Below are 19663 nucleotides of genomic sequence, written 5' to 3' on the forward strand. Positions count from 1 at the left end.
GCCCCATGGCCCAGTGCCAGAGCTAAGCCCCTTGGGAGCAGACAAACCAGGCCTCCCGTGACCTGCTCTTTAACTCAGACAAAAGACTGCCTGACCATTTTGTGGTGTGTTTCTGAAAGCAGAAAGAAACATGCTTGAAGAAGAGCAGTGAATAAGAATCTCTTTGGGTTGCACGTGCTCCTGGCAGCCCACTGGGAAGAGGAGGCAGCCCAGGCTCTGCACTATCAACAGTTCTGCTGATGGTTCTTAGCAGCAGCCATCTCCAGCCTTTCCTGCTCTGCCAGGAAAAAGTGAAATGCAAAGAAAAGCAGACGCCGGCCTCCTCTTTTAAGGGTGTTGGGCCGAGCTCTGGGTGGCTGGACCCCCTCTCAGGAGCCAGGTAAGGGGGAACTCTCTTGGGAGAGGGCTTCTGTGACAGTCCATAAATCCATATTGTTTTGAGCACAAATGAACAAGTGATTTAAAATTATCGTAGTCTACTTCAAAACTACTTTTTTTGTTCCTTTTGTGCAACACCATTGGATGCGGATGTTGGACAGTGTGATGTGTTGGAAAGTTCGCTAACCAGGGTTCTAGAGTCCTGACTGGGTTCTAGAGTCTGGGTTTCTGGAGTCCTTGGGCAAGGCCCCTCCCTTGCTGGATCTATTTTTTCTTCTGTAAAATGAGAAAGTGTACCTGGGCGATCTCTGGGTTCTTGGAGAAGCACTCCAGCCGAGCGGTTAAGAATGGTGGGCTGCACAGTGCTGGTGGTCCTGGGTCTGGCTCTATCTCTGTCATTTACAAGCTGGGTCATGTCTCTCAGCCTCAGTTCTCTCATATGAGAATGGGAGTAATCATAGTGCCTGCCTTTCGGGGATATTGTGAGAATGAACAGAGATGCACACATAGCACTCAGCACGGTGTCCGGCTGCTACGCAGCACTCAGTACAGGTCTGCTGTTTTGTTTGCCTTCATTGTAATGATCATTGTCGTCATTTCATTGTATCTCCTAGTTCTGACAGTGTTGGCTCTGCAGCTCAATGGGGATTCCCAAGTGCTTCTCAAGCATTTATTACTTGAGGATCTTGTCAGAAGGCAGATGCTGACCCTAGGGTCTGGGGTGGGACCTGAGTTTCGGCGTTTCTCATGAGCTCCCTGGGGATATGGATGCTGTTGCCCACAGGCCACACTTTGAGTAGCCAGGATGTGACGCTACTAAAGCATCGATGCCCAGTGTAGGTGGTTGTGTCATCCAGGGCCAGGCCTCCGAGTCGATGGGAGCCTCTTAAGGTCCAAGGAGAGAGTGACAAGCCTGGTAAACTCAGCAGCGTCCCCCTCCCTCTGCCCCCAGGACAGTAGGCAGCACAAAAGTCTCACCCAGGAGTGAGAGGGGACAGAGGCCTTTGGGGGCAATGAGGTCAGGAGAGTCTTCCCAGCTGATTTCATGAAAGGATTTTAAAGATGACTCTTGCCTTGAACTCCTAATTTTCTCATAATTTAGGGCTGATTATTAGGATTGCCTCATGGGCTTGTCTCTCCAATTATGCTGAAAACCCTTTGAGGACAAAGGTCTTGTCTCAAATTACTGTTTACTCCAGAGCTCCTACGACACCACCGCTGGGCTTGTAGGAGGCACACAGGTTCCATCTGCTCCAGAGACCCCCAGCCTTGGAGCTTGGTGGGGTGGGGATGAGAACACCAACTTGGAGTCAGGTGATCCCAGGTTTGAAGTCCAGCATGATCATATACTGTTGAGCAGTCAGGGGCAAGCTCCTTACCCCTTCCAAGCTTCCTCATCTGGAAATGAATGGCAGTACCCACTGCTGTGGACTGAATGTTTGTGTCCCCTTGAAATTCGTGTGTTGAATCCTAGCCCCCAGTGTGATGGTATTAAGAAGTGAGCCTTTGGGAGGTCATAGGCGTGGAGGCCTCATGAATGGGATGTGTGCCCTTGTATAAGAGACCCCAGAGAGCTTGCTCTCTCTTTCCACCATGTGAAGATACAAGAAGCTGGCCATCTGCAACCTGGAAGACAGCCTTCACCAGAACCTGACCATGTCGCACCTTGATCTCAGACCTCTAGCCTTCAGAACGGTGAGAAATAAATTTCTATGGTTTATAAACCACCTCAAACTACGACATCCACCTCATAGATTTATAAGGCTGAATTGAGATAATGAGTAAAGAACGTAGCTCAGGGTGGGGTTCTGCTTCCATGCTCCGTGTCCCCTTCTCCTCCTCTCTTTCTTCTCCTTGTCCTGTATTGTCAGGCTGGACCCTGCTCACTTAGAACCCGAGGGTCTCACTGTGCTTCCCGTTTCCAGGTTAGCTCCAGGTATGAGATATAGAAGTCTAACACTTGTCCCCGTTTGTCCCAGCCACCTTCTTCCTGCTCTTGCAGCTCCATTTATCTTGCTGAAAACTTGGCTCTTCCAGGAATAGCACTCAACTCACACCACCCAGCATGTCCTGGGAATGGGTAGAAGAGCACCCCCAGAACTGAGGGTTCCTGATTCTGAGGATCTCCTGCAACCCCTTGCACTACCACCAGCATCCCCCAGAGGCTTCTGTGTGCTCAGAGTTGATAAGCCCTTCTCCACCACTGGGGAGACTGGAGTGTGCTTCTCTGCTGTAGAGGAACACCCAGCTTGGGGCCATTGACACTATGACCTTGTTACTAGCTCACGTCTTAACCCACCTTGGAGTTCACAGGTCGTTTCCTTTGGCCCTCACAAATAAGCCATGAGATGGGCTGGTTCTATCATCAGCCATTTAACAGATGAGGAAACTTAGAAGGCACATGGTTCACCCAGGCACACAAACAGATGATGGCACCTTGGTCATCTGATCCTAAGTTCAGTGCCCTTTGCCTTGGGTGGCAGCTGCCCACAGAGCCACCAGCGCCATGCAGAAGAGTAGAGTCAACCAAGAACATTATATGTTCAGTGACAGTGAGTTCAGAGTCTTCTTGGCCTGGAGCTTCGTTTAAGATGAAGTGCCAATGGCAAGGTAATTATCATTTTGGGCATATTTAAAGTACTTAAATGGCCATGTCAGGCTTTCAGAGCCCTGTAAATCAGAGACACAGTGAGTGCAGGGCCAGGCCTCATAGGACTCCCAGGCCTTCTCGATGGGGAGCGGAGAGAGCCATTTCCTGGGATAAAGAGGACTCTCTGCAGACGCTGGCCCCTCTTAATCGCTGCCCATGCCTTGTTCTGTGCACGTGAGCACATGTGTGTGCTCGCATGCACCTGCTTTGAAAGCCTTTGACTTAGACATTGTCAGGACGTTGCTCTGTGTCTGAAGCTAGGCTGCCATATCTGCTATTGATGGTGTTTAATTAGGGACCGGGGAAGCTTTTAACTTTTATTGTTTATTAATAAAGATAAATTTGAAGCATCAAAAGTGTACTGAGTTGGCTTTTTTAAGTAAAGAGGGAAATGAAAGCCACAGGTCCCCTCAAATGAAAGGGGATGGGCTGTGTTAGCATTAGAAGGCCCCTGAGCAGGGAGAGGCTGGGAGGGGAAGGGAGAGTTTCTCTGTCTCCCTGCTGCTACTGTGGGGGTTTGCTGGGGAGAACCAAGCATAGGCAGAAGGGAAGTGTGGCTGGGCATGGAGATTTTTTGAGATAAGGGCCCTGCTTGCGGCACATCTCCCAGTGGGATGTGTGAAAGACGATTGCAAACCTCTGAGCTGATGCAAACTGAAGATCTGTGAGCACGGGGGTGGGAGAAGGGCTCTTGGGGAGAGAGAGCACAGCGATTAGTAGGACAGAACTTGGAGGTGGCCAAACGTAGGTTCAAATCCTGTTGTTTCCGCTTATGAGCAGTGTAACGTTAGAGCAGCGGCTGCACCTTTCTGAACCTCATTTCTAAAATGGGGCTCTTTAGACCTGCCTTCCAGTGTGTGTGCAGATTAAGCACGATAATATATGTAAAGTGCTTGGCGTCCTGCCTGACAAGTTGTAAGCCGCCGAATAAATGGCAAGAGGGGGCCTCTGGTGCCCTGTGTTTCCTGACGCACTCTCTCTGTCACTCTAGCCTTGTTAGAGTGTTAGTTGTTGAACATGACAGCTAACGTGTGCTGAGACCCTACTCAGTGCCAGGGCTATGCCTGAAGTTCTGCAGCAAACAGGAGGCGGAGCTGGCATTCAAACCCAGCTTTCCCCATTCCAAAGCTTCTCCCACACCACCCCGCCACCATCCCGTGGTGCCATTTCCCAGGTTGAAAGTTCTCTGCTTGTAACACAGAGTTCCCTCCTCCCCCAAGGGTTCTGCAGCTTCTGCCAGGGCCTCGCCTTGGCCTTTCTGGAAGGAGCCCTCCCAGACACCAAAGACTCTCCCAGCCTGCCGGCCTGCCTACCCCAGACTCTTCAGAGAGACTCTGTTCCTCTAGGGACCCACTCGGAATTGAGTCTGTCAGATGGGAGACTTGTTGCTCTGTCTGGAAACCCCAGTGATCTGGAGACAGCAGATTTGGGAGCTGAAAAGAGACAGAGAACGGAGTCCGGAGACAGTGGGAGGTTCCTTGTGGGAGTTCTCAAGAGACCCTCGTGGGCAGGAGGGGGCGATTCACCTTGCCAGGGCTTCCCTTCCTCCTCTCTGCCAATCTTCGTGCCCAGCTCACGGAGTCGCCAAGCATGTGACCTGCCTGCTACTTGACTTGAGCAGGTGGCCAGACTGAGCATCCGCCATCTCTAGGGAAAGCGAGATGCGAACGTCCCCCTTGCACCTCAGTTGAGCTTCGCCTTGGCAGCTGGGGAGCAAAGCCTGGGAGAAGACAGACCAGGGAGGCCAGAGGACCTTGAGCAGCTATGGGGCTTGTTTCTTGCCTTCTTTCCGTTTTCCAGACAGAGGAGATAGGAGGGCAGCTGAGTGTGGCCCAGGATTCCCAGCTGAAACTTCATATTACGGTCCCTGCAAAGGGTCGGGTTCCTTCTCTGCCTGCCATGAACTCTTGTCAGAGATCATCTTGGGTTAGGAACCAAGCACATCCCACCCCAACCCCTTCCCCACTCAGAAGGGGACAGATGTTTGAATAATTCTTGGAAACATGCTGCAACCACCCAAGGTGCACTGAGTCAGCTATGCAAATTGAGAGGCGTAGGTCAGAGTCCTGTGTGTATTTTGAAGTTGCAAATTCCCTGGCAAGCCTTGCACTGCACCCTGAGTCCTGCGTGCCGCAGTCACCCAGGGCCTTCCTGACATTCAGGGAGCTCAGGGGTGTTGGAGAGTGCCCCCAGCCCCACCCCATAGCTCTCCTTGCTCCTGCTCCGGATGCCTGGTGATAGTTACTATTTTGAGTTAAAGCGATTCTGCTTTATTAAAAAGGAAGTCCCCCAGGGAGGGGTAGTACTGTTGAACCGCTATCAGTCATGGACAATTTAGTACCAATTAATTAATCGGATGCTTTCCTGTTGCCTGCAGAGTGAATGGGGTGTGATGAGTGTTTGGAAAGGGCATGAGGTCACCAGGTGATTCAGGAGAGATAGCAAAGGAGCAAGCCAAGGGCGTACAGGATAAGCATGCCCTGTGGTTGCCAGCTTATCTCATTTGTCTTAAAAATTATTTTAGTAAACATTTTCACAAAATTATATCAATCATCCCCAAAATGCACAAATCATAAGTGTATGGCTTTGAATTTTTAGGAAGTGTACACACCCTTATAGCCAGCACCTGGGCTGTGAAACAGTTACTAGTTGCTCCTCTCAGACCCCCAGCCAGCCACTGTGACCCCCAAGGCATCCGCTATCCTGACTTCCATAGATAACGTTTTGCCTCTTTTCAAACTCTGTGAGCGTGGACTTCTTCAATGCGTCTACCCTTTGCGTCTGGCTTTCCTTCGTTCAACGTTTCTGTTGGTGAGGTTCACCCATGTTGTTAAAGTTTGTTCATTTTCATTGCTGTGTAGTGTTCCGTTGTGTGAATATACTACAGTTTATTCTATGGTTGGTGGACATTTGGATGTCTAGCTTTTGACTTTCATGAATGGTGATGCTTTAAATGTTCTTGGCCATATCTGTCTTCTTCTTTTATGTCTGAGGTTATGTGCTGTTCTCCTGGGAACCGTCTTCTGACCCCTACCCCAGGGGAGCATGAGTGCCCCTCCTTTACCCTCCCATGGCACTCTGTCATAATCCAGGAAAGATGAATAGTGATATTTTCAGTTCCTAGGCAAATGTCTGGCAGTGGTAGATGCTCAAAAGCATTAGTTGAGTGAAGGAACAAATTTTATGTCACAGTTTTGCCCAGGGCTTCTCTTGATATCTAAGAAGAGCAGTGTGGGGAGACTGTGTTGGGAGTCTTGGGGATCAGTTCGGATTCTTCCCTAGAAAGACTGCTACTCTTGGCCAGGCACGGTGGCTCACACCTGTAATCCCAGCACTTTGGGAGGCTCAGGCCGGTGGATCATGAGATCAGGAGGTCGAGACCATCCTGGCCAACATGGTGAAACCCTGTCTCCACTAAAAATACAAAAATTAGCCGGGTGTGGTGGCGTGCGCCTGTAATCCCAGCTACTTGGGAGGCTGAGGCAGGAGAATCACCTGGGCCTGGGAGGTGGAGTTTGCAGTGAGCCAAGATCGTGCCATTGCACTCCAGCCTGGGAGACAGAGTGAGACTCCGTCTCAAAAAAAAAAGAAAGGAAGGAAGAGTTCTACTCTCTGGGCTCTGGCCTCCACCTGGGTCCTGATGTCCCTGAGAATGGGCTGGAGGCCATGGCCATGGTCAGAGGTGTCTATGAGTTTCCCAGGGTGCCCCCCAGTGATAAGCTGGTGCAAAACCAGCTTCTGCCTGCTTCGGGTCTCTGAGGACCTCAATGCCATGGGCCTCCCCAGACGTAGGCATTTGATGGCCAGCAGGAGGGAAGAGTCGTGAAGAATAGAAGAGAAGATGCAGGAAGAAAGAGAAGAGGAGGGAAGGAGGTGAGAGGGAGAGAGAGAGAGAACCATGAACACATATTTTTCCAGACGCCAGGTGGGGGTGGGGAGAAAGTCAGACAGGCAGGGAGCGGGTGTTCTTGAGGGAAGCAGGTGTCCTCATGTTGGAGTTGTATTGTTTGTACCAGCAAGCGACACAGTGGAAGCAGGAACATGAGCCTGTTGAAATCCAATGTCAGGGTGCCCTGGTGGGACAGGCTTGTTTTTTTTCCCCCCTGGCACTTGGCAAATCCCCTTCACAGGCAGAGTGAGTGGCTTTCTGGTCTCTCCGGCTGAGCAGTGCTGATGGAACAGGTTATTCTTTCTTCATACACCTTTTGCTGAGCTGCATAACAAATGTGCTGTAAATTTCAGTGCTTTACAGAGCGCCTGGATACGTAAAGCAGGACTGCTTCCCCTAGTAAAGTGGAGGCTGCTCAGATTCCAGCAACAGCGAGCCATGTGGGGTGCAGTTGCTGTGTTTCCAAAGTAAATATTACTTCTTAGAGAAGATTCATACCCAGAATAATTATTTCTTGCGGCGATCTGAAGCTGAAGCTGGTTTAAATGTTCATTTGTCTCTGCCCAGGTTTTTTCCGTAGTGGGGTGTGCCAGGGTGCTTAAAGCCGACACTGCAGAATGCCCCTTCTTTCTCCTGGGCCCCTTTGCCTACAGAACCATACCTCTCCCACCCTGACTTATCTTGTTCCTAGAGTGATGGCATCTAAGCCCTCAGCTTATGCATATGTTTATTATTATTATTATTATTGAGAGGGAGTCTCGCTCTGTCATCCAGGCTGGAGTGCAATGGCGTGATCTCGGCTCACTAAAACCTCCGCCTCCCAGGTTCAAGTGATTCTCCTGTCTCAGCCTCCTGAGTGCCTGGGATTACAGGCACCCACCACCACACCTAGCTAATTTTTGTATTTTTAGTAGAGATGGGATTTCGCCACATTGGCCAGGCTGGTCTCGAACTCCTGACCTCAGGTGTTCAGCCTGTGTTGGCCTCCCAAAGTGCTAGGATTACAGGCATGAGCCACTATACCTGGTCATGTTTTATTATTAATTTAACAATTATATAGCACTTACTATGTGCCAGGCACTCTTCTAAGCTCTTTGACAAATACTGACCCACTTAAAACTCTTAACACTCTACAGAGAGGTAGAGTTACTACCCCTTTGGAGAAATGAATTAGTATCCCCATTTTCCAAATGTAGGAAACAAGGCACAGAGAGGTTAAGTAACCTGCATGGGATCACACAGCTAGTTGGTGGTGGAGCTAGAATTTGTCTTCAGAGTCCATGATGTTTATCCTCATGCTCTGCTACCTCTCAATGATTTCTTCTTCTTTTGCTTTTTTTTTTTTTCTGAGACGGAGTCTCGTGTCACCCAGGCTGGAGTGCAGTGGCATGATCTCGGCTCACTGCAAGCTCCGCCTCCTGGGTTCACGCCATTCTCCTGCCTCAGCCTCTCAAGCAGCTGGGACTACAGGCACCTGCCACCATGCCCGGCTAATTTTTTGTATTTTTAGTGGAGACAGGGTTTCACCATGTTAGCCAGGATGGTCTCAATCTCCTGACCTCGTGATCCGCCCGTCTCGGCCTCCCAAAGTGCTGGGATTACAGGCGTGAGCCACCGCGCCTGGCCCAGTGATATCTTCTAAAGCGGCACGGTGAGCAAGGGCCTGCCTTTTTCAGGGATTAGAACTATTTTTTCTGTGCCCTAATATCATTTCTATCCAAGGTGGCCCTTGACCTTACAAGAGCAGGGGTCAGGCCTGGAGCAATAATCCCACGCCTGATCATGCCTGTAATCCCAGCACTTTGGGAGGCCAAGGCGGGCTGATCACCTGAGGTCAGGAGTTCGAAACCAGCCTGTCCAGCATGGCGAAACCCCTTCTGTACTAAAAATACAAAAAATTAGCTGGACATGGTGGTGGGCGCCTGTAATCGCCCACTCAGGAGTGGAGGCAGGAGAATTGCCTGAACCATGAAGCGGAGGTTGCAGTGAGCTGAGATCACGCCATTGCACTCCAGCCTGGGCAACAAGAGTGAAACTCCATCTCAAAAAATAAAAAATAAAAAATAAAAATAAAAGCAGAGGTCAGTGTCTGGCCAGTGGTCAAAGCCTACAAAGCACAAGCTTGCCCTAAGATTCAGCTGCATCAGGGGCGCAATGGACAGAGGTGGAAAGGTGAACTTGGAGCTTATCCTGGAACCATCTGAGCTCTGGATGGGAGAATCCCCGGGGCCTGCTTTTGTGCTCTTCATCTCGCTACACACACAGCACAGGTGCTCTTGGCACCTTGGGCTCACTATCCCTTGCTCCCTGCCTTTTCCTTCCTCTAATCTCCTGGGGAAGTCATTCCCCTGTCTCGCAGTCTCTCCTCTTGGGGTCGGCCCCTGTCTCAGTAAGTGACTCCATCCTCTAGGCAGGTGCTTAGTCTGGAAGCCTGGAAGGCATCCTTGCTTTGCATTCCTCCACGACCCACATCTGATCCCCAGGTCCTGTCAATTCTACCTCCTAAAAAGCTCGCAAATGCAAACGTCTCTTCCTCTGCCACTTCTACCTTCCTCATGTCTATCTGTCTCCAGGACCTCTTCAGTGCCCACCCAATGGATGTCCCAGACTCCAGACCTAAACCCTCTAAAACTCTTTTCAAATTGCAGTCAGAGTGACCTTTCCATAAGAAATTCTGGTTATGTCATCCCTTTATGTAAAAATCTCAGTGGCTCTTTGGTACCCCTAGAATACAATCTAGACTTCCTAGCATGGCTGCTGTGGAGCCATCTTTGACCCGGATCCTATTCCCCCAGGGCAGCACCCCTCATTGCCTTTGGATCAGGAAAGATCCCTGTCTCCTGTCCCCTCCAGTTATGGGCTCATCCTCCTCCCATCCCTCTGCTTCCCATTTGTTGCCAGAAAGGGGTCTTGATCCGGACCCCAAGAGAGGGTTCTTGGACCTCATGCAAGAAAGAACTTGGGGCAAGTCCATAGAGTAGCGTGAAAGCAAGTTTATTAAGAAAGTAAAGGAACAACAGTTGTTGCCAGGAATTTGCTTTGTTTACTGTCAGTATATTAGTAATCCTAGATCTCAGAATCACAATAGTAGTAACAGGGGTCATTTTTTCCCAACTTACTCTATGTTCAGGTGTGGAATTTCTGTCTCCCAAGAGGAAATGTGACTTCACTTTGGTGTCAATGGACAGAAAATTCTACCTGTGCCACATAGAAGTTTGGAATGTACTTAATAGCTGGTTTTTATACCTTGATTTCAAGGTGGAAAGAAATTGATTATGAATCTCCAATAAATTTAAATCTCTTAAACCAGTAGGTGCTTAATATTTTTTAATTAATTAATGCCCATTTGAATTTCATGGGTTCTATTAATTTAAAAAAAAATAAGACCCCAATCCATCACCATCAAATTGCCCTTGGACTTTTTCAAGGTATAATATGGGGTTTTATGCAAAATTCCAAGCTGCCATGTAACTTTCTTTTAACCATAACAAGGAGGGAGAACTGTTTCCTGCCTTCTTTACATGTTGTGCATTGTTGTGGTCCAGAAATGATAAACCTTTTTTTTTTTTTCTTTTTGAGACACAGTCTCGCTCTGTCATTCAGGCTGGAGTGCTGTGGCGCGATCTCAGCTCACTGCAACCTCCATCTCCCTGGTTCCAGCAGTTCCCCTGCCTCAGCCTCCTGAGTAGCTGGGATTTCAGGCACATGCCACCATGCCCAGCTAAGTTTTTTTGTATTTTTAGTGGAGATAGGGTTTCACCATGTTTGCCAGACCGATCTTGAACTCCTGACCTCAGGCAATCTGCCCACCTTGGCCTCCCAAAGTGCTGGGATTACAGGCGTGAGCCACCGCGCCCGGCCCAGAAATGCTAAACCTTTTTAACGATGGTGCAACTTTGTCCTTGGCTTGACTCTACAGGCTTTGAACTTCGTGGCATAGCCACTTTGCCATATCTGCAGGAGAGCTGTTCTATGTGAAACATCTCAGAGTTGCAAATATCACATGTGAATGATATGGCTACTTTAAGAAGTGTCTGTATTGTATTTGAAGACTGTTTGCCATGAATCTGAAATTTGAATCTGTGTATTTCAATTTGGTATGCTAAAAAGTCCTGAATTAGTATAAAGATTTTTTTGTTATAATATTGTAATCTCAGTTCAAAAGTTAACTGAAAATGTAAAACCCAAGTGATTTCTATATAGTAAATTGAACTGTAAAAGTTAAAAAAAAAAAAACAACTAAAGGAATAAAGCTTGGCTACTCCATAGGCAATGCAGCCCACATGGCTGAGTATATTTATAGTTGTTTCTTGATTATATGCTAAGCAAGGGGTGGATTATTCATGAGTTTTCTGGGAAAGGGGTGGGCAATTCCCAGAACTGAGGGTTCCTCCCCTTTTTAGACCATATAGGGTAACTTCCTGATGTTGCCATGGCATTTGTAAACTGTCATGGCGCTGATGGGAGTGTCTTTTAACATGCTAATGCATTATAATAGGCATATAATGAGCAGTGAGGATGACCAGACTTCACTTTTGTTGCTGTCTTGGTTTTGGTGAGTTTTGGCCAGCTCGTTTACCACACACCCTGTTTTATCAGCAAGGTCTTTGTGATCTGTATCTTGTGTTGACCTCCTATCTCATTCTGTGACTTAGAATGCCTAACTTCCTGGGAATGCAGCCCAGTAGGTCTCAGCCTCATTTTACCCAGCTCCTATTCAAGATGCAGTTGCTCTGTTTCAAACACTTCTGACGCTTTGGCTGATTCCAACATTGTTTGGGTCTCAAATGTTCTTTCTTCTGAGGAGTCTTCTCTGACCACCCCCGCTTCCCAAGCCTGGTTTGGGTGCTCTGTTCCGGTGTTCCCATGGCAACCAGGAAACATCCTCTGTGATCACACTGTCCACTTTGTATTGGGATTTGATGGCTACCTGTGTGTTTTTCCCAACACACATTATCTGTCTTGCACACAGCTATGTCCCCAGTACGGAATACAGTGCTGAGTTATGGAAGACAGTTTTTAAAAAAGTTATTAGCCAGGTGTGGTGGTGTGTGTCTGTGGTCCTAGCTACTCAGGAGGCTGAGGTGGGAGGATGGCTTGAGCCCAGGAGGTCCAGGCTGCAGTGAGCCATGATCATGCCACTGCCCTCCACCCTGGGCAAGATGGAGTAAGACCTCCATCTGTAAGGGAAAAAACAAAACAAAACAGGTCACTGAGCCAGTACTATCACGAAAAGAACATTGACGGAGCAGCTGGGAGATGCGGGTATTAGAACCTGTTCTGGGACAAACTCTGGACCTTGGTTAAGTCATTTTCCCTCTCTGGGCATTTTTTTTTTTTTTTTGTATCTGTGAAGTAAGGAATCTATGCTAGGTGGTCCCCAAGCTCCCTTCCGGATGTGAGGTCCTGGGACCCATCTTCTGAACCAAGGCTTCACTCTTCTCATCTCTCTTGACTTTCCAGGCTGTGAGGCCCCATCTTCTCCCTCTCCTTGGCACTCCTGTCCCTTCAGGATGTGCTGGGAAGCAGAGCCTGGCATCCTGCCTTCAGCGGGGCTCAGCCACGGCCAGCAGCGGCCTTGGGTTCTCCTTGCGTCCAGGATGAGAACTCCTTGAAATTCTCTGCCGTCCTCCTCCTCACCTCATCTGTTTGCTGTCAGAACATTGCAAATAGGAAGCTTCTCATGCTGCCTCTGTCTCTGAATTATTATAACATTCAATAGGGAGGCATTAAATCTACGTGCTCCTGAGGCTGCACTTCCCCCAGTAGAAACAGGAGATGCCTGGCTGCCATGGCCCCCTCCCAGAATACACCCAGCCTCCACTTGCACTGGGAGTGTTTAATCTTAACACCGTGACTGCTCACATGTTTCCCATACTCATTCAACACATTTACTGAGCACCCACTATGTATGGCAGGCATTGTTCTAGGTGTTTAGGACCCATAAAGAACAAAGCAAACAAAATCCCTGCTCTCTAGGAGCTCGCTACTCTTTAGCAAGCGTATAGAGGGGAAACTCATATAAATAAGAAATATAATAAGTAAATTATATAACAAGCTACAAGGGGATAAGTGCTATGGAAAAAAGAAAAAAATAAAGCAGGGTAGCAAGGATGAAAGCCCCCTGAGAGTTAGAGATTTGAGTCAAGGCCTGGAAGAGGGTGAGGGAGTGTGTCAGCTATTTGGAGGAACGTGTTCTAGGTCCAGGGCCCAGCTCAAGCACAGGCCCCAAGGTGGGAATGTGCAGGGTGTGCCTGAGGCACCGTGGGACCCAGCGTTGCCTGTGGACTCTGCACATCAGGGTATCTGCCAGAGCACAATGCCTGGAGCATAGCAGGCCCACCGCTGATATTGGGGGTTGGTGTACAGCCTGCTGGACCTGCAGCTGAATGGCCTGTGACTTGTCTGAACAGTGGTACTTGTTAAATCTAGTCTGGTCCTGTGGGAGGAGCTGGCAACTAAGTCTGACAATACTGTTTGCAACTTGGCTCATCGCTCATTAGCTTTGTGATCCTTGGCAAATTACTTAACCGCTCTGAGTTTCCGGCTCTTCATCTTTGAAGGAGGGCTCTGACCCGTGCCTCTTAGGGTTGTTGTAGGATTTGACGAAGTGACCGTGTGGAAGCAGCTAACTCAATGCATGTTGCAGCCAGGGTGTCTAATAACGTTAGTTCTAGTGCATCCCTTACCCTGGTCTTTGGGCAAGGTATTTATTTTCTCTGACCCTCAGTTTCCTCTTTCAGAAAACAGAGTATAATAGTCCCTGAGCTGCCTACTGCTTAGGCTTTAGTAATTATCCAGTCTAACAATGCAGATAATAGTACTTTATATATAGATGACAAGTTTCCAGGGGAGAGGGTCTGTGTGTGTGTGTGTGTGTGTGTGTGTGTGTGTGAGAGAGAGAGAGAGGAGAGAGAGAGAGAGAGAGAGAAAGTGTGTGTATGTGTGATTCTGTGTATGTGTGTACAGTTCTGTGACACAGGGTTTTTTTTATTATTTAATAAATGTTTCAAGGACAAGGATACTGTATTTTTTACAAGATCTTATGCCTCGCACACATTAAGTGCTCAGTAAATCCTTGTTGAATGAATGAAAGAGCAGTGAGGAAAATGCTCTTTGCTAGATTAAATGTGTGGATCAGAAGCAGCAGAGCTGTTTGCTTCCAGGCAACGGGAATGTGGTACCGTTGTGAATTATATTTATTGATAACTTAACTATGTGCCAGCTACTGTGTGAAGTATTTGCATGCATTTCTCATTTGAAACTGCAAATAGCCCCGTGAGGTAGGTACTATTATTATTCCTGTTTTACAGACAAGGCAGCTGAGGCTCAGAGGTTAATGTCTTGGTCACAGTAAGTGAGGGAGCTGGGATTGGAACTCAGCCTTCCAGAAGGAATACCTATGCCAGTTGCTCCGGAGGCTGCCTGGAATATCGCTGCCTCTTTCCGTGGCCTGATGTCTCAGGAGGAGGAGGAAGGATGTTCTTGCAGCCAGGCCAGGAGGAAAGTCCAAGGCTGTGAAGTCACTGCTCAGGTCACCGGTGAACCTTCCAGTAGAAGGGGAGAAGGCGAAGGGGTTGCCCTTCCTTGCCTGCAATAGACAATGAGGACGATCAAAGACAAGGATTGTTCTCTGCCCTGTACTTGAATTTGTCCTTTTCCTTTCGGTCTTAGAGCATGTTAAGAACTTGGTGGAACAAACCTTCACGTTGTGCACATGTACCCTAGAACTTAAAGTATAATAATAATAAAAAAAGAGGACAAAAAAGAAAAAAAAGAACTTGGTGGAGATATGAGAGCTTTGGGCCTTACGCTTCCTTCTTAGGTGCCTAAAACCTGAGGATGCATGTATGTATGTGTCTACGTATATGTACATGTATCAATGATGTACATGTGTATGTACATATGTGTGTACGGTATGCCTTGTATATGTGTATGTCTGTGTGGATGTGTGATATGTATATGCATATATGGTGTGTAGTGTGTGTGTGTGTGTGTATGTGTATGTATGGTGGTTGTGTGTGTCTGTCCTTCAAGAGCAGCGTGAAGATCTGTTTCTCTGCAAAGCCTCCTCTGACCGTGCCTTGGCAGTGCTGAGAGGTCTCAGCCTGGGCCTCGTTCCTTGACTGTGTGACTGCGGTTCCCAGCCTGTGCCGGGTGACTGATGTCTCTGCCTGCCTCCCCTAACACAGTGAGCCCCTGGAAAGAATGTCTTGTGTCATATTAGTTTTCCTTTCACATGCAACGGTATGTGGAATGGATGTTGAGTGTGTAGGTGAACAAATGAATGAACAAATGGATGGCCTCCATGCCACCACTGCCTATACTGACCTTGGTGAGCCCATCATCTACTCCTGATCACTCATGTCGGGGGCTTAATATCAAAGAGGCTGCCTTCCTATGGTTGGATCACCCGGATGGGACTTCAATGCCAGAAATCCTTGGCATCCACGTGGACATGGGGAACATCAGTGTCCCTGTGCATGGTTGGTGTAGGTGATCTCCCCGTGCTCTCAGATCTGTTGAGGGACTGGGCTGGGCAGCCAGCTGTGGTCTGGAAGCACCTTTCTTCTGTGGTTCCTGAGAGTTCCCTATCTGGCGCCCGCCTTCACGTTCCCTTGCCTGCTGGCTGGGTCGGCTGGAAAACGAAAGCATTGGGAAGTTGCTCTTCCCTGTGGTTAATGTGTTCCATGCCCGCTGTGTCCCCCTGCACTCAAGTTCCGGGCAATTACCCTCCTGCCGGGTTTTGTTGCTGAGCACAGCAGGTGGGCCTTGTTTGTAATTCACTTGCACCATTAACGCTGGGTTAGCACCAGAAGGGCGACTGATCCATTCAGTGCCCCCAGCCCCAGATGCCGTTCCATAGCAGGGATGTTAGTTGACTTTGGGGGTCCAACTGATTGTCGATTAAGGCATTTGAGAGGCTTAATCCATTGGCTGTCACAAAGTACTCAAAATCATCCACACTAATGGAAAATCTGTACCTAAATACCAGTCTCCCCAAATCATGGTGATTTGGCTTTGGACAATAATAGCAATAATCACAATAACAGCTGTCAAACATTGAGCACTTGCTATTTGCAGGCATACTGCTAAGATCGCAGCTAATATTTGACAGCAACCTTAGGAATGTCTAGCATTTTCTCCACTTTGTGAATGGGGAAACTGAGGTTTTGAGAGGTTAATCACTTGTCCCAAGTCACATGACTGGTAGGTAGCGGCACCCAGGCTCTGGGAGCTCTGTTTAAAACAGATGCAGAGCTTGTGCGGATAACCACTCCCTTGTACTGCCTCCTTCTGGGAGTTTTGTGAAGTTTTGTGAGTGGAGGGAGTGGGGGGACATCTCCAGCTTGCCATCCTAATTATTTTTTTTGCTAGCATTGATATTAAGATGAGTCACTGAGTAGGGGAAAGATGAATAGGATTAAAACATCCTCTGTAGGTTCACTTTTATTAATTAATCAATCATACACTTATTGAGCTCCAACTAGGTGGAAAACATTGTCCTAGGTGTTTTGAAGAAAACAAAGATAAATCATTCATCTGTTCAATAAATCTGAGAGATAGGGAGTCAGACATATCCTAGAACATAAGATGGGGGATGAATTGGTAGGGCGCGTTGGAAGAAGAATGCTAGGAACTAACCAACCACAGGGGTCTGATTTAGAAGAAAACCTTCCTTAATTCTCACTGCATGTTATCAAACCATTTTTCACATGTAACATCCCTGATCATTGAACAGCCTGGTGAAGTAGGCAGGGCAGGTAGTATGTCTCCTATTTTATGGGAAAGTAAGGCACAGAGAGATTCAAGGATCTGACCACAGTTACCCAGGGAACAAGTGGCAAAACCAGGTTTGAACACAGGCCTTCTGACTCCAAGTCCAGACCCTTTACTACAAAGATACTTTCATTAGAGCCTAACATTTGGGGATGAGCGGATCCAGACTCATCAGTGTGTCTGATGTCCCACATCCTACAGAGACTGGCTCTGGACCTGCCAGGGCTCTGCTTCCCTTGGAGAACCACCATACGCTCCTACCCAACGCATAGCTGCTTGGAAATTTTCTTTTCCAGTTTGTGGGAAAATGTCTGTGCTCTGATGTTCCAGTGGAATCAGCCCAGTTTGCTTCAGGGTCAGTTTTCCCCACATTCACACTACCCCCAACATGTTGCTAGGTGTCTGTTAACTTCTCCAGGCCATCGGGCGCCCCTTGGTCCCATGGATTTTTTGAGAGCACAGCTCTGGTCCTGGCCCTCCCTTGCCCAGAAACTTTTAATGGCTATTTGTTGCCTGGAGGATAAAGTCCAAACTCCTTAACCATGGCATTTGGGGCCTTCCAGAATCTGACTGCAATACTTACCCATCTCTGAGCCCCTCAGGAACAATGGGCTCCTGCCAGATTTGGTTTTTTCACCATCCTTCGAACAGCCCTTGCTTGCTTTCCCCAGCACTTACCTGGAAGGTCTCTCCCCACCCGGCACATGCCTCGGGGCTCAGTGTGTGGCCCACATCTTCCAAGATTCTTGCTGCAACTGCAGGGGCGCAGGGACATTTTTCTGCCTGCCTTCCAGCACTGTTCCTTGTTTTGTGACAGAGGCCACCCTGACTTATGAAAGCGGCTTCGCTGTGGCCGGGCATGCTGAGTTCCCGCAGCCTGTTTTACTCTTCACACAAGGACATCCTACTTCTCCAGGGAGCTTCTTGAGGGAAGGCACCACATCGGAGGGTCCCGGTGGCCGCCAGTGCCCAGCATGGAGCTGGGTGGGTCCCAAGCATGTGGGTATGCTGGCGCAGTGCCATAGAGCTGTGAGATCTGCCCATGTGGCAGCCCCCTGTTGGAGGAGGTACAGTACCCACAGCCTTTTTCCCTCTTCTGGCCGCCGGAGCTGGGTTCTCGGGTGTATGTGCCCCCTCACCAAGGTCCCATCCTTGTTGAGAGCAGGGATGACCCACTTGCTTAGCTAGGGAGGTTGAGGATTTCCTCAAGGCTGTCCTGTGACTATAGACCAGAGGGGGCTGAGCCTTCAGCCTCTGGACTTCTAAACCAGGGGCCGGAGACTAGCCTGACTTTGCCTGTGGTTTCTGTGACATCTCTAGGCCACTGGCAGAGGGAAGGTGATGGGCCCTAGACGGGCTCTCTTCTGTAAACTGTGTCAAATGCAGATGCCCAGGGCAGCCTCTGGATGGGGTGCCCTCTGCATGCCTGACCCCCTTAGGAGACTGAACATAGTGGTTCCCCAGAGTTCCTCCTTCCCTGAGGGAGGGCCTGAGATCCAGCCAAGAACTAGAGCCAGGGATCTTTGAGGTGAGAATCATGGCTGTAGGCAGGTGAATACCAGCTGTGGAGGGGGTGATCCTGGTTGGAGGAGTGCAGGTCTTGGGGTGAACTCCCAGGCTCAGCACTGAGCTCCAGCTTCTCTCTGGGCAGCCAGAGCATAGGCTGTGGAGGAATGTTCCAGAGAGGCCACCAGAGACCTAGGCAGGCCCAGCATTCACTGAACACTTGAACCTGGGCATAGGTGTATTAGCCTCACTCTGCAGAGGGGGGATGCGGGCTAAGGGGGTTAAGGAACAGGCCCAGGTCTTGGAGCTAGGTATTGAGAGAGTCAGGATTCTTTATTGTGTTTGTAATTATTAACCAGACTTTTTAAGTGAAACAAACAAACAAACAAACAAACAAACAGAAAAACCAGTCTAACCTCTCAGTTAAAAATGCAAACAATAGAGAACACTTGAGAATGAAAAGCAAGTCTACTTCCTTCTCCGACTGGAGTCCTGTATCCCCTCTCTGGGGGCAGCCAGTCAGCAGCCAGTTTCTCCTCCCTTGGCCCCCGAGGGAGCCTGGTGCCAGGGCCTTGCCCCAAGCAGATGGGAGTCAGTGCTAACTGGGCTGATGGAAGGGGAGGGGTGGCATGGGCCCTGCATGTGCCCTTAGGCAATTCCGAGAGACTATTCTGAGCTTGGATGACTCTAGTGGCATAGGTCTCCGAACCTTCAGCAGGACACCGCTCACGTTGCTGGGGACCTATCTAGCTCTGCTGCCCTCTGCCCCACACACCTGGGAGGGCTGAGGGGGGCTGATTCTGGGTTTCTCCAAGGAATGCGCACATCCAGAGATAGCTCCTTTCTCACCTGCTCTGGCTAAGACTGAAGAAAAAAAAAAAGATAGGGCCTACTTTCTGACGATGGTGGATAAGACAACAAAAAGCACTGATGTGCACCAGAAGTGGCCATGGACAGGACAGATGTAGTGGGGTCTCCACCTGGGCATGATGGAGCCAGGCCAAGGGACAGGAGCTCTGTGTCTGTGCCCAGCAGCTGTCAGCCTCAGGACTTCCTCTTTGTCACGAACAGCCGTTCCAGTGCTTTCCTCTGGCTTTGACCTGAGTACCGTCACCTGGGAGTCCAGCATAGCCCTCGCTGGCTTCAGGTGGTGGCATTGTGCCTGCATGGGTCATTACACAGCTGCCACCCATCCCACCCTCTTCTCCAGGCTGAGAAGCCCAGCTCTTCTCAGTCCTCCTTAGGGAAGGTTGCAGCACACACACCCTCACTCAAACACAGACAGTCATCTGCAGGACTGCTCATCTCCTCCCAAACACCCAGAGAGATGCCTAGCAGAGGAGAGAGGGTTATATTTATCTGGAGGTGATTAAAATGCTGTCCTTAAAAGTTGTTCTCTCCAAGTTGGTCTTCTCTCCTGCTCATTTGATTCCTCTGTGGGCACCCCTTCTGCCAGGTGT

General features: G+C 49.0%; 1 protein-coding gene across 21 annotated transcripts in view, besides 3 other annotated features; it reads left to right on the forward strand.

Moving 5' to 3' along the window:
• The window catches only part of GRIK4 (glutamate ionotropic receptor kainate type subunit 4), a 477159-nt gene that overhangs the window by 118486 nt on the left and 339010 nt on the right, over nucleotides 1–19663 (forward strand). The gene's annotated exons all lie outside the window — the stretch shown is intronic.
• Nucleotides 3705–4684: an enhancer, noted in NCBI's record as "H3K4me1 hESC enhancer chr11:120504647-120505626 (GRCh37/hg19 assembly coordinates)". NCBI's record gives its function as "activates a minimal SCP1, AML or CMV promoter by ChIP-STARR-seq in primed H9 embryonic stem cells {active_cell/tissue: H9 hESC(primed)}" and the evidence as "EXISTENCE:reporter gene assay evidence [ECO:0000049][PMID:30033119]".
• Nucleotides 14806–15512: an enhancer, noted in NCBI's record as "OCT4-NANOG-H3K4me1 hESC enhancer chr11:120515748-120516454 (GRCh37/hg19 assembly coordinates)". NCBI's record gives its function as "activates a minimal SCP1, AML or CMV promoter by ChIP-STARR-seq in naive H9 embryonic stem cells {active_cell/tissue: H9 hESC(naive)}" and the evidence as "EXISTENCE:reporter gene assay evidence [ECO:0000049][PMID:30033119]".
• Nucleotides 15513–16219: an enhancer, noted in NCBI's record as "OCT4-NANOG-H3K4me1 hESC enhancer chr11:120516455-120517161 (GRCh37/hg19 assembly coordinates)". NCBI's record gives its function as "activates a minimal SCP1, AML or CMV promoter by ChIP-STARR-seq in naive and primed H9 embryonic stem cells {active_cell/tissue: H9 hESC(naive and primed)}" and the evidence as "EXISTENCE:reporter gene assay evidence [ECO:0000049][PMID:30033119]".

The sequence above is a fragment of the Homo sapiens genome, chromosome 11, assembly GCF_000001405.40.
Source record: "Homo sapiens chromosome 11, GRCh38.p14 Primary Assembly".
Taxonomy (NCBI): Eukaryota; Metazoa; Chordata; class Mammalia; order Primates; family Hominidae; genus Homo; species Homo sapiens.